At 56.1% G+C, this 22,063-nt stretch overlaps 1 protein-coding gene across 11 annotated transcripts in view, besides 15 other annotated features; it reads right to left on the bottom strand.

Moving 5' to 3' along the window:
• The window catches only part of PTDSS2 (phosphatidylserine synthase 2), a 43,132-nt gene extending 26,909 nt beyond the window's left edge, over positions 1-16,223 (bottom strand). For 5 of the 11 annotated variants that reach the window (XR_242827.2, NR_138046.2, NM_001329544.2 and 2 more), the window contains exons 1-2: positions 13,854-14,212; positions 4,203-4,304 (exon numbers count right to left, since the gene is read on the bottom strand). Coding sequence is in view for 6 of the 11 variants with exons in the window: in NM_001329544.2 (NP_001316473.1) it covers positions 4,203-4,304; positions 13,854-14,035 (284 nt within the window). In the remaining 5 variants the exon portion in view is untranslated. Of the gene's footprint in view, positions 1-4,202; positions 4,305-12,055; positions 13,135-13,853; positions 14,923-16,071 lie in introns of those variants that run through there. The other 6 variants (XR_002957201.2, XM_024448699.2, NM_001329548.2 and 3 more) reach the window with 4 other exon arrangements.
• Positions 3,642-3,811: an enhancer, noted in NCBI's record as "experimental_21475 CRE fragment used in MPRA reporter constructs". NCBI's record gives its function as "activates a minimal promoter by MPRAs in K562 erythroleukemia cells, with activity observed for both the introgressed and non-introgressed 11:460765 or rs35389167 variant alleles {active_cell/tissue: K562}" and the evidence as "EXISTENCE:reporter gene assay evidence [ECO:0000049][PMID:34662402]".
• Positions 3,642-3,829: a biological region, named in NCBI's record as "ReSE screen-validated silencer GRCh37_chr11:460662-460845".
• Positions 3,646-3,829: a silencer, noted in NCBI's record as "fragment chr11:460662-460845 (GRCh37/hg19 assembly coordinates)". NCBI's record gives its function as "represses an EF-1alpha promoter that drives an FKBP-Casp9 reporter gene in an ReSE screen in HepG2 liver carcinoma cells {active_cell/tissue: HepG2}" and the evidence as "EXISTENCE:reporter gene assay evidence [ECO:0000049][PMID:32094911]".
• Position 3,726: a transcriptional cis regulatory region, noted in NCBI's record as "Neanderthal adaptively introgressed variant 11:460765 (GRCh37/hg19 assembly coordinates) or rs35389167 in the experimental_21475 CRE". NCBI's record gives its function as "modulates activity of the experimental_21475 enhancer by MPRAs in K562 erythroleukemia cells {active_cell/tissue: K562}" and the evidence as "EXISTENCE:reporter gene assay evidence [ECO:0000049][PMID:34662402]".
• Positions 8,843-9,564: an enhancer, noted in NCBI's record as "H3K4me1 hESC enhancer chr11:454927-455648 (GRCh37/hg19 assembly coordinates)". NCBI's record gives its function as "activates a minimal SCP1, AML or CMV promoter by ChIP-STARR-seq in naive and primed H9 embryonic stem cells {active_cell/tissue: H9 hESC(naive and primed)}" and the evidence as "EXISTENCE:reporter gene assay evidence [ECO:0000049][PMID:30033119]".
• Positions 13,528-13,617: a silencer, noted in NCBI's record as "silent region_3010". NCBI's record gives its function as "represses an Ori minimal core promoter by ATAC-STARR-seq in GM12878 lymphoblastoid cells {active_cell/tissue: GM12878}" and the evidence as "EXISTENCE:reporter gene assay evidence [ECO:0000049][PMID:35858748]".
• Positions 13,628-13,687: a silencer, noted in NCBI's record as "silent region_3009". NCBI's record gives its function as "represses an Ori minimal core promoter by ATAC-STARR-seq in GM12878 lymphoblastoid cells {active_cell/tissue: GM12878}" and the evidence as "EXISTENCE:reporter gene assay evidence [ECO:0000049][PMID:35858748]".
• Positions 13,878-14,117: a silencer, noted in NCBI's record as "silent region_3008". NCBI's record gives its function as "represses an Ori minimal core promoter by ATAC-STARR-seq in GM12878 lymphoblastoid cells {active_cell/tissue: GM12878}" and the evidence as "EXISTENCE:reporter gene assay evidence [ECO:0000049][PMID:35858748]".
• Positions 13,878-14,712: a biological region, named in NCBI's record as "H3K27ac-H3K4me1 hESC enhancer GRCh37_chr11:449779-450465".
• Positions 14,026-14,712: an enhancer, noted in NCBI's record as "H3K27ac-H3K4me1 hESC enhancer chr11:449779-450465 (GRCh37/hg19 assembly coordinates)". NCBI's record gives its function as "activates a minimal SCP1, AML or CMV promoter by ChIP-STARR-seq in naive H9 embryonic stem cells {active_cell/tissue: H9 hESC(naive)}" and the evidence as "EXISTENCE:reporter gene assay evidence [ECO:0000049][PMID:30033119]".
• Positions 14,148-14,427: an enhancer, noted in NCBI's record as "active region_4276". NCBI's record gives its function as "activates an Ori minimal core promoter by ATAC-STARR-seq in GM12878 lymphoblastoid cells {active_cell/tissue: GM12878}" and the evidence as "EXISTENCE:reporter gene assay evidence [ECO:0000049][PMID:35858748]".
• Positions 15,745-16,054: a silencer, noted in NCBI's record as "silent region_3007". NCBI's record gives its function as "represses an Ori minimal core promoter by ATAC-STARR-seq in GM12878 lymphoblastoid cells {active_cell/tissue: GM12878}" and the evidence as "EXISTENCE:reporter gene assay evidence [ECO:0000049][PMID:35858748]".
• Positions 16,145-16,434: a silencer, noted in NCBI's record as "silent region_3006". NCBI's record gives its function as "represses an Ori minimal core promoter by ATAC-STARR-seq in GM12878 lymphoblastoid cells {active_cell/tissue: GM12878}" and the evidence as "EXISTENCE:reporter gene assay evidence [ECO:0000049][PMID:35858748]".
• Positions 16,445-16,584: an enhancer, noted in NCBI's record as "active region_4275". NCBI's record gives its function as "activates an Ori minimal core promoter by ATAC-STARR-seq in GM12878 lymphoblastoid cells {active_cell/tissue: GM12878}" and the evidence as "EXISTENCE:reporter gene assay evidence [ECO:0000049][PMID:35858748]".
• Positions 21,082-21,879: an enhancer, noted in NCBI's record as "H3K27ac-H3K4me1 hESC enhancer chr11:442612-443409 (GRCh37/hg19 assembly coordinates)". NCBI's record gives its function as "activates a minimal SCP1, AML or CMV promoter by ChIP-STARR-seq in primed H9 embryonic stem cells {active_cell/tissue: H9 hESC(primed)}" and the evidence as "EXISTENCE:reporter gene assay evidence [ECO:0000049][PMID:30033119]".

The raw sequence follows: 22,063 nt of genomic DNA, 5'->3' as shown, positions 1-22,063 counted from the left end.
CTCTGAGCGCAGGGGAGATGCCTCCGCACTGCCCGAGCCGGGGTGAGGCACTCTGAGCGCAGGGAACAGTGAACACTTTCGCACCCCCATGCAGTGGTGGGCACACGGGGCTCTGAGTCTGTTAAAACTCATCAGCCGTACGCGTGAATCAGACACAGATTATAGTAAATTATAGGTCAATAACGTTGACTCAAGAAAAGCAAAACGGGGCCGGGCGCAGTGGCTCACGCCTGTAATCCTAGCAATTTGGGAGGCTGAGGCGGGTGTACTGTCTGTGCTCAGGAGTTCAAAACCAGCCTGGGCAACATGGTGAAACCTGTCTCTACCAAAATATAAAAAAATTAGTGGGGCGTGGCGGTGCACGGCTATAGTCCCAGCTACCACAGAGGATGAGGCACAAGAACTGATTGAACCTGGGAGGTGAAGGTTGCAGTGGGCCATCACGCCACTGCACTCCAGCCTGGGCAACAGAGCACGACCCTGTCTCCAAAAAAAGAAAAAAAAAAGAAAAAGAAAATCATCCCCTAAGGTGGGGAACCTGTTAGATCCATAAAAAGAACAATGACAGCAAGCTGAATAAAGACACACTAGTTTTATAACTTTTTAACTTTAATAACATAAATATTAATTTTTAAAAATAAGGCTGGCCAGGCATGGTGGCTCATGCCTGTAATCCCAGCACTTTGGGAGGCTGAGGCGGGCGGATCACGAAGTCAGGAGATCGAGACCATCCTGGCTAACACGGTGAAACCCCGTCTCTACTAAAAATACAAAAAATTAACCGGGCATGGTGGCGGGCACCTGTAGTCCCAGCTACTCGGGAGGCTGAGGCAGGAGAATGGCGGGAACCCGGGAGGTGGAGCCTGCAGCGAACCAGGATTGTGCCACTGCACTCCAGCCTGGACAACAGAGCGAGAGTCTGTCTGAAAACAAAAAAATAAGGCTGGGAGCTGCAGTGGCTCAGGCTGTTTGTTCTGGCGCTTGGGGAGGCGAGGCTACACGTTCGAGGCCAACCTGGTCAACATTGACCAAAAAAAAAAAAAAAATTCCAACCTGGCTAACACGGTGAAACCCCGTCTCCACTAAAAATACAAAAACTGTCTGGGCATGGTGGTGGGCCCTGTATTCCCAGCTACTCGGGAGGCTGAGGCAGGAGAATGGCGTGAACCCGGGAGACGGAGCTTGCGGTGAGCCGAGATCACACCACTGCACTCCAGCCTGGGGTACAGAGCGAGACTCCATCTCAAAAAAAAATAAAATAAATAAAAAATAAAATTAAGCCTAATTTCTAGAAGGTATTTTCTTTTCTTTTCTTTTTTTTTTTTTGAGACGGAGTCTCGCTTTTTCGGCAGGTGGAGTGCAGTAGTGCGATCTCAGCTCACTGCAAGCTCTACCTCCTAGGTTCATGCGATTGTCCTGCCTCAGCCTCCCGAGTAGCTGGGACTACAGGCATGAGCCACCGCGCCCGGCTAATTTTTGTATTTTTAGTAGAGACAGGATTTCACCATGTTGGTTAGGTTGGTCTCGATCTCTTGACCTCGTGATCTGCCCGCCTCAGCCTCCCAAAGTGCTGGGATGACAGGCGTGAGCCACCGCGCCTGGCCTAGAAGGTATTTTCTATATAAGAAAATCTACCCTTGAGGACATCAGATAATTCTAGTATTAAAAGTAAACCAGCCCCCACAGCCTTCTGGACACCCTGTGTGGGGACACCCTGTGTGTGGGCACCCTGTGTGCGGACACCCTCTGTGTGGACACCCTGCGTAGGGGCAGGTAGGGTGGCTGCCCAGGAGCTGGGCTTCTGGTGTGCAGCAGTGCGGGTCCAGGCCATGAGAATGGACTCAGGACAGGTGCACCACGGCAATTTCACTGGAAGGAGCCACAGAGCCACGGTCAGTGCCAGGGTGACCTGGGGCAGCCGAGCCTTCCAGGAAGGAGCCCAGAGCAGGTTCTAGGTGCCAGCAGCAGAGAAGGACAGGTGGCTTCTTTTGTGCCCTCAAAGAGGGTGAGGGGGAAAGAGAATGTGAGTTGGGAGCGCGTTTAGTGTCCCCAGAACAGAACCTCAGAGAAGAGTGCCCAGGGCCCCGTGAATTCCCGTCTCCTGGCCCCTCTCAATGAACACACGCAGGGGCTCCCTGCTGGAGAGGACAGGATGGCAGAACCCAGCCTCTCACGTCGGGGGCCACTCAGGAGAGGCCAGTGCTGGGTGAAGTGGGGGACGTGCCCACCACTGCTGCCCCCTCAGGGGTCTAAGCTCCTGGCCCCTCTGGGTCTGGGTCACCTAGTGCTTCCCATAGGAACCAGGCCTGGGAGGGCAGGGCCTGGCTTGGGGTGGTGAGGCTTTGTGATGCGCCTGGTGGGGGCCTGGTGAATGCTTTCGGGGAGTGCTCCCAAGACACCCCCTGCACTCCTGCTCTTGACAATTCTTGCCATGTGGGACACTTGAGGTGAGACCCGGTCCTGCTTCCTAATCCACCTACCCTGCTGTGCCCGGCAGATGCCACAGACCCTCCTAGCCAGGTGCTGATGGATGAATTCAAGAAAGACCAAGTCCTCCTTGAAAGCTCCCTCTAGGCACACACGGGGCTCCTGCCCACTGCCTCACTGCCTCCAGAGCCACAGGTCCAGCGTCCCCAGGTGGCCCCTCCACAGGGGCCCCAGGCACGGCACATGCTCCCTCATCTATTTCTGGAGCCTAGTTACACAGTGCACACCGGGCCTGCAGGTTCTGCACGTGACCCCCGCTGGGACTGCCTAAGAAAGGGAGAAGGAGCGAGCTGGGCCTGGAGCACGGGAGGCACTGGCCAGGCCAGGCCTGGGAGCAAGCTGGCACCTCAGGCTCAGAAAAAGGGGGAAGGGCCAGCAAAGCTGACTGGGAGAGGGATGACAGCAAGGTGGGAGAGAACCCACAGAGCATGCAGCCAGGAGCAGGGTAGGGAGACCAGGACAGGAGAGGCCACCTGCGCCTCCCAGGTGAGGATGGAGGGTGAGCTCATCTGGGGAGCAGGCTGCAGAGTCCTGGGTCCAGGCACCTCAACAGTAATTTCTAACCAGAAATGCCCCACTGCCCCCAGGGAGATGGACTCAGTTATGAGGTCTGCTGTGCGTGATTCTAAAGCATCCGCTCCCCTACAGACAGGGCACTGGGCATGCTTGTGTTCTAGAGCCCACAGGGCTGGTGTCAAATCAGTGGGCAAACAGGGCCACCAACGCCCGTGCAAGCGTGATGACGTTCACACCATGCCCACCCATCACCCCACCCAACAGTCACGAAGATAGCGAGACTCTTGCTTTACAAAATGAAGTGCTGGCCCAAGAGCTGTAGGGACAGCTAAGTCCTACAAACCCCAGGGCTCCCGCCAACCAGAGCCAACTTGTGGCCCCGACACCAACAGGCCTCCAATGCCTCCTTCCACCTCTGTCCCCATCCTGCTGCTGGTCTCAGACCCTGCTCCGGCTTCCTCCCACCATCCCGCCGGAGCAAGTGGGGCCAGGCCCTGATGGTGTCAGCAGCCTTGCTGGGCAGGAGGCAGCCCTGGGCAGACACACCCTGTGCGCGCGTCGGAAGAGCAACGCGAGAGGAGAGTCAGGCACAGAAAACTCAAGACTGATTCACAGGCTCTAAAACCAGCTTCTCTTCCACACGCACTTCTGAGACTGGCGTCAGAATCCATGGAATTCAGGCAGAGGACACACCCAAGGTCTAGCCTGCCTGCCTGTGGAGATAAACCTGAGAAGACGAGTTTACTCGCTTGGCTGCTGACCAGATGGTCTGCGGTCCGTGTCGGCCCCTGTCCGTGCAAGAGCCCCGCTGGCTAACGGAACCAGCACGCGGCCACCGCAGGAACCTCACCCCCGGAGACGCCCAAACTCAAGGGCTCAGCCCTGTAGCTGCTGCAGCTCGTTCCAACCTCAACATGCAAAACTCAGAGGAAACGCAGCACAGGCTGCCGGTCACGTGGAGATGACACAGACTCCTGGCTCCCAGTGACAGGCGACGGGGGCTGACCGGGAACGCCACGCAGCACCAAGGGCAGCCCTGGAGTCTGCACATCAGACACACTCAAGGGAGAGGCCGGCGGCCCCACGCAGCCCTCTGGTGAAGGCCTTCTGAGCCCCCGGCAGCCCGAGCAGTAAGGGTGCCACACCCACCACACGGGGCACAGGGCAGTTTCAGAAGGCAGGACAAGAGGGCAGCTTACCTCTTGGTGTTGTAGGCCGTGTCCTGAGGTGTTTCCTCCAGCAGCGTCACATAGCCAAGCGTACAGGTGAGGATGAAGAGCACGGTTAAGGTGTGGGCTCGCCTGAAATCCAAAAACGCATAAGCATGGTGTCAGAGCTTGGGCAGCATTGCTAAATACTCACGTAACAGGCCCCAAATCCTCTCTACGTCAAGGAGAGGGCTTAAACTCCACTCTCCAACTCCCAACCAGCAACTGGCTGCGAGTCCCTAGCTGGGTAACTCCGAGATGACCCTGCGTCTGCTGGCCAGTCAGGGCTGAGACCAGCCCCCAGGAGGCTGGACAGGAAGAGCCCCGTGTTCCTGGGAAGCTGAAGGCCGCTGCTCAGAGGGCACATGCTGCCACTGGCGTCCAGGGCAGGTATCTGCTATTAAGAGCAACTGGACACGTAAAACACGCGCTTTTCACTGCGCAAGACAAGCCGAGACAACAACTCTTTGGGTTCATGAAATAACATCTGAGATTCAGTGCAGCAGCCCAAGACACCAAGAGCTGAGAAGGGGCCTGAGCAGAGGCCTGCAGAGTGACCGCTGCTAGCTGGAGTGAGCCACGAGCCGTGGGTCTGCCCGTCCTCTGGCCTGTCAGAGCCCAGACGTGGGAGGAGGAGGCAGGGCGCTCCCTTTGCAGTCTTGTCCTGTCCCATCGCTGGTGGAAAAGCCCACAACCAGCCTAGTATCAGAACTGGGGGCCACCAGACCCCAGCCACTGCCTGTGCCAGACACTCGCCTGAGACCCCCTCTGCATGACCATCTGCAAATGGAGGCAGAGACCTAGTTCCTACATCCATCGGAGTGTGTCCTCGGAGAGATGATGCACCCCTCTGTGCCTCAGTTTCCTCATGTCTAACCCAGGTCCTACATCCACCAGAGTGTGTCCTCACGTCTAACCCAGGTCCTACATCCACCGGAGTGTGTCCTCACGTCTAACCCAGGTCCGACATCCACCGGAGTGTGTCCTCACGTCTAACCCAGGTCCGACATCCACCGGAGTGTGTCCTCACGTCTAACCCAGGTCCGACATCCACCGGAGTGTGTCCTCACGTCTAACCCAGGTCCGACATCCACCGGAGTGTGTCCTCACGTCTAACCCAGGTCCGACATCCACCGGAGTGTGTCCTCACGTCTAACCCAGGTCCGACATCCACCGGAGTGTCCCCTCACGTCTAACCCAGGTCCTACATTCACCGGAGTGTGTCCTCACGTCTAACCCAGGTCCTACATCCACTGGAGTGTGTCCTTGGAGAGATGATGCACCCCTCCGTGCCTCAGTTTCCTCATATCTAAATGGGGAAGCTTCTGACTTCCAAGGACATCATGAAAATTAAGTGAACAATGCACTTAAAGCATGTTGCCCAGGACTTGCCTCCATGAAATGTAAACTATTTGTGCCCTAAAGAAATGAAAAGGCAAGTCACAAACTGGGAGAAAATATTCACAATACATATATCTGATAAAACTTTGTAGGCTGCACGCGTCTGTAGTCCCAACGCTTTGGGAGGCTGAGACAAGAGGATTGCTTGAGCCCAGGCGTTCAGGACCAGACTGGGTAACACAGTGAGACCCCATCTCTATAAAAAATTAGCCAGGCGTGGTGGCAGGCACCTGTAGTCCCAGCTACTCGGGAGGTGGCAGATTCGCTTAAGCCCAGGTTGAGGCTGCAGTGCGCTAGGATGATTGTGCCACTGCACTCTAGCCTGGGAGACAGAGCAAGATCTGTCTCAAAAAAAAAAAAAAAAAAAAAAATCAGGCCAGGCGCGGTGGCTCACGCCTATAATCCCAGCACTTTGGGAGGCCGAGGCGGGCGGATCACGAGGTCAGGAGATCGAGACCATCCTGGCTAACACGGTGAAACCCCATCTCTACTAAAAATACAAAAAATTAGCCGGGTGTGGTGGGTGGGCGCCTGTAGTCCCAGCTACTCGGGAGGCTGAGGCAGGAGAATGGCGTGAACCCGGGAGGCGGAGCCTGCAGTGAGCCGAGATCGCGCCACTGCACTCCAGCCTGGGCGACAGAGCGAGACTCAATCTCAAAAAAAAAAAAGAAAAAAAATACTTTTTATCCAGAATTTATAAAGAACTCATACAGCTCAATAAACAATTTAATGAAAAAATAGGCAAAAAATTGAACAGACACTTCACAAGGAAAACATACAAATGGCCAATAAGCACATGAACAAACGAGGAGCAGCACTGGTCACCGTGAAAGCAAATCCAAGCCAGGACACATCAGTACACATCCGCTGGAACGGCTGAAATTAAAAGCATCACAAATCCAAGCCACGACACAGCATCAGTGCACATCTGCTGGAACGGCTGAAATTAAGAACATCACAATGCAGAGTGCTGGTGAGGTCTCGGAGCAAGATGCTCACGCACTGCAGGTGGGACTGCAAAACGGCACAGAAAAGTGAGGCCTATGCTACGTCTGCTATCCAGCCAGCCACATACTCCCAAACGTGGGCCTGAGACAGATGAAAACACAGGTCCAGTCAAAGACACACTCCCAAACGTGGGCCTGAGACAGATGAAAACACAGGTCCAGTCAAAGACTTACATGCAGATGTTTCAGGTATAATAACCTAAAACGGGAAACAAACCAAAACTCTATCAGTGGAGGAAACACTGTGGTCCCTCCGACCAGCGGAGCATGGCTCAGCACTCAGAGGAATGTGCTGCTGGCAACGACCTCAACGTGGATAGATCTCAAAGACACGCCCCTTGGGAGGCCCAGGCAGGAGGACTGTTTTGGGCCAGGAGCTCAAGACCAGCCGGGGCAACATCATGAACATCGTGAGATCCCGTCTCAAAAGATAAAAAAAGAAAAAGAAAAACACGCTACAGACGCCAGGCACAAAAGAAACCTCCCATCTGCTGTCACCCACACACGACTCAAGGAAATGAGTTTGCATCCACGAAAAGCAGACTGGAGCGGAGACACGGGCCTTCCGGATGATGGAATGTTCTGGTGTGAGCGTGGTTGTGGCGGTGCATGGGCGTGTCACCTGCACGTGGGTGCTGCACTGAACGCACCCACACCTGGACTTAGCCGATTTCATGAAGAGCCAGGGTGGAGCTGCAGGACTGCAGGTGGAGGCTCCAGGCTGGAACTTTCTGTATTTTTTGTGCAGATGGGGTCTTGCCATGTGGGTCAGGTTGGATTTTTTTGTATTTTTTGTAGAGACGGGGTCTTGCCATGTTTTCCAGGCTGGTCTCAAACTCATGAACTCAAGGGATCTGCCCACCTTGGCCTCCCAAAGTGTTGGGATTACAGGCATGAAAGTGAATTCTTCTGCCATATTTTACAATACTAGGCATTTAAGACAACCAGAGGTAAATAAAAGTTTCATTGTGACTATCAACCACCTTTTTCTTTAGATACATTTGCATTTGAGTCCTAAGCCATGAGGAAACCGCAGGGAACCTCAGCCTTCCTGCTGAGCTCCACACCGTGGGGCCCTTCAGTACTGAGAGACCTGCCCACAATCACAGCAGAGAACCCACGTCAGAAGGCCCTCTTAGGCCCCCATTCCTAAGGGTGCCTGGATTCGGCGACCCAGAAACTCACCCTCTGCTGAACACTACACTTACAGAACGTGTCCTCCTGGAGACAGCCCTTGAGGGGAAACGGGCTGGGCTCAGCTGGGGCCCAGGAGTCCCCTTGTCCCTGGCCTGCCCCTCCATGAGGCCCACCCTTTCCTCCATACAGGTGACATCAGATTTCGGTGAGGAGAGTAAGATGACCCCGGTTAGGATAAGAAGAGTCAGGAGTGTTTGGGGGCAGGTACCGTGGCTCACACCTGTAATTCCAGAGCTTTGGGAGGCTGAGGCAGGAGGATCACTTGAGCCCAGGAGTTGGAGACCAGCTCGGGAAACATAGTGAGACCCTATTTCTACCAAAAAAAAAAAAAAATTAACTGGATGTGGTGGCGCATGTCTGGTCCCAGCTACTTGGGAAGAGGGAGGGTGAGGGGAGATTACTTCGGCCCAGGAGTCGGGGACCGCAGTAAGCTGAGATCACATCCCTGCACTCCAGCCTGGGTGACAGAGTGAGATTCTGTCTCAAAAAAAAAAAAAAAAAAAAGAATGAAAGAAAACAGAAAGAAAGAAAAACCAAAACAACAAGCAGGTTTAGATCGCAAAGCCAACGACGTGATGACAGCCAGGAGCGCGGTGGCTCTGGCTGTGTCCGTGCCCCGGGCCAGGGCACCTTCATGCCGTGTGCGTGGTGCCCGCAGGCAAGTCAGGGCCGGTAAGTGACACTGTGAAGGTCATGCAGCAAGGCGGGGGGTGGGGCCCGGAGCCTCCTGGACACTGGGCCATCACAGCCATTCCCTGAGCCCCCGCCCCAGCCACACCCGGGAGAAGACACAGCCTGCGTTCCTGAGCCTTCCTTCCAGTGGAGTGAGACCAATACAGGAGAGCTAAGAAACCCTACACGTTATAGAGAAAAACAAAAGAGGGATGGGAGTGGTTAGGGAGGTTAAAACAACTATTTTTGTTGCAAAGCCAGGTCCCAGTAAAACCACGCCAGGAGGGCTCGTGGCCTGGGAGGCATCTCCGGAGACCATAGCAAGAAGGGAGCGCGAGGAGCAAGCACTCTCGGGCTCAGCCTCCATCCCCAGCAGTTCTGAGAAACAGCAGGGACCTCTCCAAAGGGTGCACATGTCTGAAGTGACCTTTGGAGGAGCCAGGGACAGTCTCATCCTGGGGCTTCCTGACGAGGTCACCTTGTAGGAGGAACAAGGTCAAGGGGCTCCAGACACCCAGAACCCCGCCAAGGGCCCACAGCACAGACAGACAGGGTGTGGTGTGCACGGGAGCAGGACTCTGCCTGGCTGGAGTGCAGATGCCGGGACAGGAGCCTGCTGTGAGGGAGGCCTCCAGTGGGGAAGCTAACAGGGCCTCCACAGGACCCTGTCTTGGAACCACACGGCCACCCCACGTGAGGGGTTCTCACTCTGGGCAGTAATGTCTCTAAGAAAAGAGGGGTGAAGGAGCCCCAGCCTAAGGGAGGCTAACCGTGGAAGAGACAACAGCCCATCAACCTGCTCACATGCAGAATGGGAGACCCAGAAGCTAGATCAACGTGAGGACACCACTCAACCCTGTTCTGCAAGAGACCAGCAGGAAACCCCTCGTCATCTCCATGTGGGCTCAGGAAGAAGATGGAAACGACCAGGCCTCAGGGACACCCAGAATGCCACCACTCCACACACAGGCCCACTGGAGGAGGAGGCTGCACTCGGCCCCACCCTGACCCTCGGACGTGCCTGCAACCCAGTCAGCATCTCCCAGATACAGCACAGGCTCCCATTCACATGCAGAATCCCAGGAATAAACGCAAAGCTCAAGGGATGGGGTGAGCAGCCTGTGTCCCACCAGCACCAAGTTCCACAGCACACAAAGACAGGATCACACACTAACACAAGTTAAAATTGAAACTTGACTTCTTTTTTTCTTTTTGAGATGGAGTCTTGCTCTGTCACCCAGGCTGGAGGACACTGGCGCGATCTCTGCCTCCCAGGTTCAAGCGATTCTCCTGCCTCAGCCTCCCAAGCAGCTGGGATTACAGGCGCCCGCCACCACACCCAGCTAATTTTTGTATTTTTAGTAGAGACCGGGTTTCACCATATTGGCCAGGCTGGTCTTAAACTCCTGACCTCGTGATCCACCTGCCTCGGCCTCCCAAAGTGCTGGGATTACAGGCGTAAAACTTGACTCCTTTAATACGACTTTCCACGACAGAGACCTTCCTGTGGTTTCTAAAGTGGCCACCAACCCAACACTCACTCCTTGTGTAGCCCAGGGAAACGCTGATCATTGATCAACCCTAACCCAACACCATCTTTCCATTTCCCCAAAACACAGAGATTACCTGAAATATAAAGGTAACCCTTCGCCCCTTCAGGTAAATGTGCACACTGTCATTGAGGTGGCCACCGAGTGCCCAGCACCCTCCTGGCCCTGGGGAAGCAGAAATGGGAATGAAGAGGACCCAACAGGAAGGGAGGCAGAGGGTAAGGGACCCAGAGAAAGGGCACCAGGCACAGCAGCCCTGCAGGAGGACACATCTCAGAGCTGCTCAAATCCAACGCTCCTGGAAAGTAAGGTCCGTATTAGTGAGCTCCAGTCCTTGTCCTACACGCAGCACGACGTCTACACATCTTGGAAGTGACAGAGTGCCGCTCAAGATAGCATGAGACTCTCAAGGGAAGAATTCCGTGTCCCTCCCAGGACGCCAGGTCTGTTCAATGGCTCCTCCCACCCGCCTGCAGACTCTGCAGGACGGTGTATGTCCTGTGATCAGACACAGAACAGAGCTGTGATCAATCCTGGCAATTCAGCCACTTCACTAGGGTGAGGGCGTGAAGACAGCTGGCTCCCTGCCATGGGGAGTGGAAAAGACCCAGCTGCCTCCTTGGAGATGGTCACTCTCATGTCCACTCTCATGGTGGGCAGGGAGGCCGAGACCAAGAGGAAAACGCGGCGTCGTCGTCCAAAGGGCCAAGGAAAGGCCACGCCTGGATGGGCAGCCCAAGGCCTGCGAGAGGCTCCTGGACCGGGCACTGGCCCTTCTGGCTCTGACCAGCAAGACCAGAAAGACTTCATCTGGCTACTCGCGCCTCCCAGGTGTAGGCAAAGCTGGGAAAGCCCCGATCCAGGATGATGGAGAAAGGCATCTTCCAGAAACCTGGGGTATCTGAAGGTCAGAGGTCACCTCACACATAAAGTCCTCAGGTCACTGAGAAGGCTCATTTGAGGCACCCCATTCCAAGACACAAGCATACAATAAAAACTCTCAGAACATCACAGTGGCCCCCAGCTCGGGAACTGGTTAGCAAGTGTGGTCATCCGAAGCTGCTTCAGCGTCTCCCACAGACAGGCGGCAACGTTCACAGGCACCTCGCCAGGGTAAGGGGTCCCCAAGTGTTCTCCCAAACAATTTCCAGACCGCATGAGCTGCCACATCTTCGCACAGGGCTTCTCGGAGTCTGTGGATCTAAACGTTTTCCTCTGGATGTTCCCCATAATTGTCCTTGCTACCCTGAATGAATCCAGAGAAGGAGAGCTCAGCCTCGTGCTCCCAGGGCCAGTCAAGCCCTGAATCGAACCGCACGCCCTATCCCTATGGCTGACAAGCAGTCACAGAGAAACAAAATTCACACATGGCCGCCGTCACTGGCCCGAGGAAGTGCACCCATCCTTGAAAATGAACGCCCTGGCTGGATGTGGTGGTGCATGCCTGTAATCTCAGCAATCTGGGAGGCTGAGGCGGAAGGATCACTTGAGGCCAGGAGTTGAAGACCAGCCTGGGCAACACAGGGGGACCCTCTATTAAAAATAAATAAATAAATAAAAATGAATAAAAAATAAAAAGTAAAACTCTCTAAAACACAAAATTAGAGTTAAAAAAATGCCAGCACAGCAAGTCAGTGCAGGTGGACTCAGGAGGTCAGTGTGAGGCTCTGCAGGTAATGAATTCTCACCAGGCAGGCATTGAGTTACCTGCCACCCAGAAGCGTGAAGCTCCTTCCTCTGCACAGGGAAGGGAGGAGGCACAGCAAGAACCTGCCCCATGCGTCTCTACAGGGACAGGGTCGAGGGGAAAGCCAGAGCCAGAGCCACCCACCCAGAAGACCCAGGAAGGAGGTACCTGGACCAGCCAGCCCCGCTGCACCCGCTCCTGGAGAGCCCTCCTGACCCCCTTGGCCTCCTGACAGGCAAGCTCTGCTGCGCCCAGCCGTCTGTGTCCCAAACACCCCTTGTGGGCAGGGACCACTGGTCTGGGCTTCTAAAGAGACCGGCCCCCTCCTACCTTTGGGCTGCTGCTCCTGCTTCCCTGGTACTGGGTGGGCTGCGCAGGCTTGCATGTGCCCCCTGGCTCCTGCCACACTCAGCACCCAGCCAGCACATTTTGAGCCTTCTGAAGTTCCATGCCTGCACCAGAATCTAAGCTTCTTGTTTAGTTCTCTGCTATGTCCCGTAGAACGGTAACTGACAGGCAGTAGGGGTCCCCACAATGTGCTGAACGGCCAAATGAGAAACAAGAAGAGCCAGTCTGGTCTCCTCGCTCCGGGACCTCAGAGGAGCCCGTCTGTTCTCCTTGCTCCGGGATGTCAGAGGAGCCCGTCTGGTCTTCTTGCTCCGGGACCTCAGAAGAGCCAGTCTGGTCTCCTTGCTCCAGGACCTCAGAGACTCCGGTGGTCCCCAGCTGTGCTGCGGGAGGACAGCCTGAAGGGGTGTGGCAGGGCACCTGATGGAGAGGCCTGATGTCCACAGGGCCCGGAAGCCAGAGGGTCCACGTGGCAGGCACCCCATCTCCTCTCCCTCCCGAGGGCCCCGCAGCCACCCGGTACACTCATCTCCCCAAAGGAGAGCTCGGATGCCCTCCCTGCAACAGCAGCTGCCCACACCTCACGGAAGACCCTGCGTGGGGCCTCCTCCACCCTAACCTGCTTTCCCACCACTTGGACAGTCTCTCTCCAGAGCTTCGGCTGCGGTGACAGGCCAGGACCGGTTAAGTCCCTGTCTGTGGTGGCGCCTTCCCCTGACAAGTCCCTTACTCCTCCATCAGGCCCTCCTCGCCCCTCAGATTTGCTCTCCGACCATCCCACAGCATGGTTCTCTTGGAAGCGTCCATAAAGCCTTCCTTCCACTGCTGGCCGCAGGCGCCTGTCTCCCACACGTTTTCCTGGGGCTGACCCCACCTCTACTGCCCCTGTGCCCCCGGGCCTTCCACAGGATGGGAACTGGGCACCTTGCAGTCAAGAAGAGCCAAACCCTCCTCTCACGAAGCCTGCTTTCAGGTCGACGGCTTGATCCTTCTCACAGAGGAGCATCGGCAAAGGGCCAGCCCAGGGTCGCAGCTGTCGGGAGTAGGAGCGGCACCTGGAGCCTGTCTGGACACAGAGTGCCACACTCCAGCTGCTCCCGGGGGCCTCTTCCTTTTCCACCCCCATTAAAGGCAGAGTGGCGGACAGGGGGACCCCAAGGTGTAGCTAGGGCTGAGTTGTGCAGGGAGGAGGCGCTGGCCCCGCTAGGGGCAACTGAGGAGAGAAACAGAGCCTGGATTCGACGAACACCGACTACATTCCTGAAGCACGCACAACACTCTGCTAATCAACACGATCGCCACGTGGGGTCGGGCGCGACACACAAGATGATTTCGTGCAGCCGCAAGCACTGAGGAGCAACCACAGGCAGAATGACGGGGGACACAGGTGAAGCTTCGACAGCAGGACAGAGAAAGCGTTTCTGGGGTGACGCTGGAGGCGGGTGGCGGGGAAGGGGTCTGGATCGCAGAACCGCGCGGTCAGAGCCAAGGCGGGCAGGGGTGGGGAGGGCGGCGAGAGAGACGCAAAGCGGCCGCAGGGAGGGTCTGCCCAGGGTCTCCCCCACCTACAGCGCCGCCCTCCGCCCGACCCGGCGTCGGGAGCTCGGTCCGGCCGCTCCCCGGGACCCGGGGGGCGGTGCTGCCACACCCTCAAACCCCCGGCCACAGTCCTGGACTCCAAGACGGCGAGAGGGCGCTGCCGGGGACCCCCAGGCCAGCGGTGCCGGAACCCCCAGGTCGAGGGCACCCTCGCCGCCCCGCGGCCGCCCACTGCCCTCACCAGAAGAAGGTGTTGGTGCCGTCGTCGTAGACCTCGGACTCGGTGCTGCGGCGGCCCTCGCCCGGCCCGGTGGCTTGGCCGGCAGACGGCCCGTCAGGCGGCTCCTCCAGCGAGGCCCTGCCCGCGGGCACCGGGGACTCGGGCCGCGGACCTCCGGCGTCCCTGCGCTCGCCCCTCCGCATGGCGTTTCGGCCCGGAGCCACTCCGCCCGGCGCCTCGACCCCACGCACACCGGGTCACCGGCGAGAGGACGCGCCGCACACAGCGCGAGGAGCGCTGGGAAGGGGTCGCGGCGCTGGCCCGCGGGGTCTTAGGAGAGCAGCGCGGGGCCGGCCAGTAAAGGGTGTGCGGTGCATTGTGGGGCTTGTAGTCCGCGCGGGGCATGCTGGGCCTTGTGGTCCGACGTCGCGGGTTGGACGCAGTGCTTGCTGGGAAGGATGACGCCTGGTTGCTGGGAAACCGGAGCCGGACCGCCCTGCGGCTGAGGTCGCAGGAACCAAGCTGCGGATGGCGCGGGTCTCGCCAAGGCCTCCAGAGCTTGGAGGTAACCACAGACATCCCCGGCGGCCTGGCCCGAGTCCCTCCACCCCTTCGCCCCTTCCTCGCCGACGGATCCCGGAGCCCAGCCCCGTTCTCCTTTTGGGGCGCTTCCCGACCCTTCACCCCATGCGACCCGGGTCATTCCTTTTTGAGACGGAGTCTCGCACTGCCGCCCGAGCTGGAGTGCAATGGCGCGATCCCGGCTCACTGCAACCTCCGCCTCTCGGATTCAAACGATTCTTCTGTCTCAAGCTTCCCGAGTAGCTGGGATTACAGGCGGCCGCCATCACGCCCGGCTAATTTTTGTATTTTTAGTAGAGACGGGGTTTCACTATGTTGGCCAGGCCAATCTCGAACTCCTGACCTTGTGATCTGCCGCCTCGGCCTCCCAAAGTGCTGGGATTACAGGCGCGAGCCACCGCGCCCGGACCGGTCTGGGTCATTCTTTCGCAGGATCGCGTGAAATTGGGCGGGCGAAAATGGTGCGGACACGCTGATTTTAGTTGACCCAAATTGTTGACATGGTACCCTGCAAAAAAATTAGCTCCTGAGCCACTCTGAAAAGCAATGTGGCAGCTCCTCAAACCTGGAAACAAGTGTCCACGCCAAATTTACACACTAGCGCTCCTAGTTGCAGCATTTTGATAATAGCGGCATGTTATTAGCCATAGAGGAGCGAAGCATGCGCATGCTACAGCACAGCTGGACCTTGAAAACATTATGCTAGGCAGGCCGGGCGCGGCGGCGCACGCCTGTCATCCCAGCACTTTGGGAGGCCAAGGCGGGCGGATGACTTGAGGTCAGGAGTTCGAGACCAGCCTAGGCAAAGTGGTGACACCCCATCTTTACTAAAAATACAAAAATTGCCCTGGCATTGTGGCGGGCGCTTGTAATCCTAGCTACTCGGGAGGCTGAGGTGGGAGAATCCCTTAAATCCGGGAGGTGGAGGTTGCAGTGAGCCGAGATTGTGCCACTGCACTCCATCCTGGGCGACAGAGCGAGACTCCGTCTCAAAAAAAAAAAAAAAAATGCTAGGTGAAAGAAGCCAGTCACAGGAGACTACGCATTATGTGATCCATTTGTATGAAATGTCCAGGAAATGCAAATCTATGAAGACAGAAATTAGATGAGTTTTCACCGGGGGCTGGGGAAGGGGTAATAAGGAGCGACTACAAAGGGTAGCAGGTTTCTTTCGGGGCGATGAAAGTGCTGTAATATTGACCTCAGCTCCTATCTGTGAATGTCCTAAAAACCACTCAACTGTCCACTCGAAACGAGTTGAATGGGTGAACTGCATGATATGTGAAGTATATCTCATATCAGCTTTATTGAAATATAACTCACATACTAAATATATAAACATATTTGCGGGGCTCCTGCACAGCCACGCCCAGCAGGGATGGGGCCTGACTGTGATGGGACCTTCACCCCAGCTCCTGACACACAGGCTGGGCAGTGCGGGAGGCGCTGGCTCCAGGGGGCGTGCTGTTGGGCCTCCCCAGGCCTGGCCCCCTGCCCCAGGCCCTGGCCGCGTCCAGCTGGGGTCGGCTGAGTGGCCAGAGCAGCCAGCTCCCGTCCATGCCATCTTTCCAGCAATCACCCGACAGGCCTGGTTCCCTGTGAACCATCCTTCAGGTCCCCTCCCAGACCTCTTCCCATCCCAGCAGGTGGCGCTCACATTCCAGGCGCCCTCTCGGTGGCGTTGGGGTCATTTCCTGCGTATGGGTGTTCTCTCAAACTGCACAGAGAGCCCTCCTGCCGTCCCTCCAGGGTGCAGAGGCCGGGGCGGGGAGATGTACCGGCCCCACTGGGGTCCCTGGCCCCAAGGAAGCTGCGCGCGAGGCCGCCTCGCAATGACGCTCGTTCCTGTCGGCTCGGGGGCGGGGCCCAAGGGCGCGTGAGGGGCGGGGCCGAGGACATGGTCTGTGGGCGGGGCCTGAGGGCGGGGCCTTGGGACCCGGAGTAGCGTGATCTAGACCGCGCGGCCCCGCCAGACCGCGCGGCCCCGGGCGCGCAGACCACGTGTTCGTTGCCCATCACTACGGAGCTCTGGCCACGTGCCAAGTAGAATTCCCAACGCTTTGTAAATGCTAACTATTGTGATTTTTTTTTTTTTAAGCGTAGTCTCACTCTGTCACCCAGGCCTGGAGTGCAGTGGCGTGATCTCGGCTCACTGCAACCTCCGCCTCTCGGGTTCAAGCGATTCTCCTGCCTCAGCCTCCGGAGTAGCTGGGATTAAAGGCGCCCGCCATCACGCCCGGCTAATTTTTGTATTTTTAGTAGAGACGGGGTTTCACCAAGTTGGCCAGGCTGGTCTCGAACTCCTGACCTCAGGTGATCCACCCACCTTGGCCTCCCAAAATGCTGGGATTACAGGCGTGAGCCACCGCGCCGGGCCAACTATTGTGATCTTAACACACCCCCTTAGGTTCTATTTTTGACTGTCGCTTAGAGACAAAAAAACTGTGGCAGAGAAGGCCGGGCGCGGTGGCTCAAGCCTGTAATCCCAGCACATTGGGAGGCCGAGGCGGGTGGATCACAAGGTCAGGAGATCGAGACCATCCTGGCTAACACGGTGAAAGCCCATCTCTACTAAAAATACAAAAAATTACCCGGGCGTGGTGGCGGGCGCCTGTAGTCCCAGCTGCTCGGGAGGCTAAGGCAGGAGAATGGTGTGAACCTGGGAGGCAGAGCTTGCAGTGAGCTGAGATCACGCCACTGCACTCCAGCCTGGGTGACAGAGCAAGACTCCGTCTCAAAAAAAAAAAAAAAAAAAAAAAAAGAAACAAACAAAAAAAAAACTGAGGCAGAGAAAGGTTGGTGACAGCTACGCCCAGCTCTTTCCAGACCCCAGAGCCTCTACCCTGAACCCCTGCACTCTACAGGGAGCTCTCCACCTGCAGTTTTGCACCTGGCGTCTCATATCTGAGTCTCACATTACCCTGTCCCTGTCTTCACCCCAGCTGCAGAAGTGCACACCCCTCCCCACCCAGGCATGTGTGGACTGGCAGAGTCCATTGCAAGACGTGGGCCTGAGGGGCAGGGGTGAGGCCGGAGGTTTGTGGCTCAGGGAGCACCGTGGCTGGTGAGGAGGCAGTGGAGCAGCTTGGAGGACTTGGTTCTTTGAGGCCCCAGAGCAGCAGAACTGGGGGTCCCCCGCCTGGGGAAGGGTGCACGGGACAGAAGCCTTCCTCAGCTGCAGAGATGCCTGCCAGAAGCCTCAGGGCGCTGGAACTTTTAAGAAAATGGTCAATTCTGGCCTTACCCAGGGACAGAGCTGGCCAGAGTCACATTTATGGTGGTAAATAGTGAATGTTGGCGAAATGCTTTCTAAAAATGCCCTTGCAAGGAAGGGAGAGGAAGCCTAGGAATTTGTAAAGTAACAAATGCCTGTTGTAATATTTCCCCTGGTGCGGTAAATCCATAAAGGTGAGTGGATTACAGAAAAACTCACCGTGCCACACGCACACCTGTGCCCGGGAGTTTTCTCTGGCTTGTTGGAGGGAGCGTGGACAGCAGGACTGCTCCCCAAGTCAAGATGGTTAAGGCCTGGAGGTGTTGGGGAGGCAGCAAGGAGACAGAGTTGTCCCTGCAATGAGGACGGGAGGGGTTTGGGTCCCCACCCCAATGCCACCCTGGTGTGGCAGGCAAGGATGGCTTCAGGTGGTCCTCAAGGGCAGAGGCCCAGCTGGGAGAGGGTCTCCCCTGCAGGGGCTTCAGGCTGGGGGTCGCCTGCCAAGCACTGTCAGCCAAGAGAGGCTGGAGCCAGCAGGGTGCCTGAGACCAGCCCAGAGAGAGTACAGGGGCAGGTTCTCAGAGGCACCGACTCCAGCTGACCCAGAGGGGCTGCCTCTGAGCAGTGCCTGGACGAGTCTGCTCGTCCAGACACTGTGTCTGTGTCTGTGGCCGCGCCCAGGAGGCTGTTGGGGGCGGGGGGGGAGGACAGGTCTCTGAGGGGCCCAGGGCAAAGGTAATGACAATTGGTGCTCACACCTGCCTGTGGGATTTCACCTGGGCGCTCCCTAGCTCTCGCTGGCTTTGTCACCCGGACCGCTCCACGGGTGGCTGCCATATCCCACAGTTAAAAGGAGGCTGCAGGGACGGAGGAGCTGCCTCTGCTGCATGTTGGGCCTCAGGGGGAGGCGGTCTGGTGGACGGGGTCTTCTGAAGTGGGAGGAGGAAAGGCAGAGGAACAGGGTCCAGGGTCCACAGAGGAAGAGCAGGAGGCCCACGGGGAACCTCGACCAAAGTTCTCTGCCAAGGCAGGGCAGGGCCACCTGCCAGGACGTCCAGGCCAAACTCTTGCCTCTTCAGGAGCTGCACTCAAACCCGGAAGCCAAGAGTCAAGCTGAGTCTGGGGGAAATAAAGTTTATAATAATAGACTTGAATGTGGAAAAATAAAGCAAATTTAATAAGTTTATTAAAGTGTGATGTGTTTGTGTTAGAATATTTGAAAACAAACATAATGAAGAAAAGCATAATACCCCATCCTTAGTTCACATTGTTAAGCAAATGTAAGTATCAAATATCAGTCTACTCTTCCCATATTTTAATGCCCCTTAGCTACGTTTACATAAACATTTTATACATGTTTGTGATAGGAGCATCAAACCACCATGGCACACGTTTACCTGTGTAACAAACCTGCACGTTTTGCACACGTATCCTGGAACTTAAAGTAAAAGAACATTAAAAAAAAATTAATCTCCGCCAAGTGCAGTGGCTCATGCCTGTTATCCCAGCGCTTTGGGAGGCCGAGGCGGGCGGATCACCTGAGGCCGGGAGTTCAAGACTAGCCTGACCAACATGGTGAAACCCCGTCTCTACAAAAAATACAAAATTAGCCGGGCGTGGTGGTGCATGCCTGTAATCCCAGCTACTTGGGAGGCTGAGGCAGGAGAATCATTCGAACCCAGGAGGCGGAGGTTGTGGTGAGCCGAGATCCTGCCACTGCACTCCAGCCTGAGCAACAGAGCAAGACTCCGTCTCAAAAAATAAAAAGAATAAATAAATCTCTTTTAATCTAGGAAAAATTTTTATATGTTTGTAGTCTGTTTTTTTTACTTAGCAGTATAACATAAGCATTTTCCTATGTTCTCAAAAACTCTTTGAAAGTATAACTTCTAATGTCTGCTTAATCAGCATATAAATATGAATACCATGTTTTCGCTGATATTTTCCTATTGTTGAACATTGGTGGTTTACAATTTTTGCTGCAAATGACATATATACATATTTTCATTATTTTGCATTTTTTTAGAACAGTTTACAAAAAGTTAGATTAATGAACCAAAGTCTAAACAATTTTAAGGCTCTTAATACGTATTATAGCTGAATTGCTTTCTGAAAGGGCTGTACTGGTTTTCTGTCCAGATAGGACTGGGTGGGGTCCCCCTCCCTCTCCACCCTTCACTGATCGTAAGGGAACTTCCACGCTGGGTGAGGCCAGCGGCCAATGCAGCCGCCTCGCTGAGCTCTCTCCCCTGAAGCTGGATATGCTGGCTTTACAGCCAGGACTCTGGAAGTGACTGAGGATTCCTCTGGTGACGCCCACGGAAGGTGTGGGGGGAGGAGGAACAGTGTTTCTGCAACGCAACTGGGAATGCTGAAAAAGTCATTGAAAGAGAGCACAGCAGCTGTGTGGACACTTGAAGTGGCGCCTGAGTAACTCACATGACCTGCTAGCAGATTGTTTTAACACACTGAAAACGTGGAGATTGTTTTATTATTTATTTATTGATTTATTTATTTTGAGACGGAGTTTCACTCTGTCACCCAGGCTGGAGTGCAGTGGCACGATCTTGGCTCACTGCAACCTCCACCCTCCGGGTTCAAATGATTCTCCTCCCTCAGCCTCCTGAGTAGCTGGGATTACAGGCGCCTGTCACCACGCCTGGCTAATTTTTTGTATTTTTAGTACAAATGGGGTTTCACCATCTTGGCCAGGCTGGTCTTGAACTCCTCACCTCGTGATCCACCCACCTCTGCCTCCCAAAGCTCTGGGATTACAGGCATGAGCCACCGCACCCAGCCGAAGATTGTTTTAACACAGTGTGAAAACATGAGCACAGAGACCCCTGAGCGGGCTGAGCTGGGGACTGGGGAGCGACACCCGTCACGGACGGTGCAGGGGCTGGGAACGTGGATCTTGCGTGTGAGTTCCTCCCATACTCAACAAGCCTTGCACATTCTGTTTCTGAACTAGATCTAACTTGGCAGCTGTGACCCCCTGGTGAGACTGCCGGATGTTCCCTCTCCCGCTTACCCTGCTTTCTTCCATGGGAAAAGAGCTCACATGCCCCAGGCTTCCTTGCCATAGAGTGTGGTCACGTGACTAACCATGTGAAGGGTGAGGTTCCCTCCTTCGCCCTTTCCTCTTCCCACTGGCTGGAACGTGGATGTGATGACTGGAGCTTGAGCAGTCATTTTGGACCAGGTGCTGGGACCATGTATTTAAGGTGGCAGAGCAACAAGCTGAAGGCATTCTGGGTCTCTGATGACTATAGTTCGGCCATACTAGTCCAGGACTAGCCAACTCCAGATTTTTGTTTTGCTTTGTTTTAAAGACAGAGTCTTACTCTGTCACCCAGGCTGGAGTGCAGTGGTGTGATCTTGGCTCACTGCAACCTCTGCCTCCCAGGTTCAAGCGATTCTCCTGCCTCAGCCTCCCGAGTAGCTGGGATTACAGGCGTGCACCACCATACCTGGCTAATTTTTGTATTTTTAGTAGAGACGGGGTCTCACCATGTTGGGCAAGCTGGTCTCGAACTCCTGACCTCAGGTGATCCACCCGCCTCGGCCTGCCAAAGCGCCGGGATTACAGGCATGAGCCACTGCGCCCGGCCAACTCCAGATTTCACTTATAGGAGAAATACACAGCTTGTTTAAGCCACCACCATTTTGCACACAGATCTGAATGTGTTCCATTTGGATTTGCCCCATCTGAGCTCACAGGTCCTCGGCCACCACTTCACTCGCTTGTCTTTGCCAAAGTGGCAAAGCTGTGGTCTCTGCTGCCATCCCAGCCTGCCAGGAGGTCCCCCAAGGAGAAACATGGGTGGGACCATGTTACCCCTTGGGGAAACCAGAGCCGACTGTTGGCCCTGGGCCTGGACCACAGCAGAGGGCTGCTGGGCTTGCCGGGGGGTGCTCTGGCCCCAGTGGGCCTGGAGCCGTTCCGTGTGACAGCGTCTGCCTGCGGAGCTCTGGCCCTGCCTCCCCAGCTTTGCAGCAGCTTTCAGAAGCAGACTCCTCGCCACACACGCTGCAGATAATGTGTGCCAGCCCACGGCCTGGGCCCCCACTCCCCGCAGCCCTTCCCTCCTCAGGGCACTCCACTGGACGGTCACTCTCAGGACACCCAGAGCCTGCCCAGCTGCCGCCCTCAGCCCAGGCTGCACAGAACGTGCTCAGGGACTGGGGATGCGGGGTGGAGGGCTCCTCCTCCGTTGTCTACACAGCCTGGGGCCAGCCACGTGTCCCCAGGACTCCAAGGATTCCCCAGTGGGGCCCAGAAAGCAGGGGCTTGGGTAGGAGCAGACAGTTTCTTTGGGAGTCTGTCTCGTCGTCAGTCCTCCTTGCCCCAGTTTCTCCTCTAAGGGAATCAGCACTGGACCTGTGGGGTGGGGGGCCGTGGCCCGGGGTGGGGGGCCGTGGCCCGGGGTGGGGG

Source organism: Homo sapiens, chromosome 11, assembly GCF_000001405.40.
Source record: "Homo sapiens chromosome 11, GRCh38.p14 Primary Assembly".
Lineage (NCBI taxonomy): Eukaryota > Metazoa > Chordata > Mammalia > Primates > Hominidae > Homo > Homo sapiens.
The sequence above is the reverse complement of the archived record's forward strand: the minus strand, read 5'-3'. Positions and strand labels throughout refer to the sequence as shown.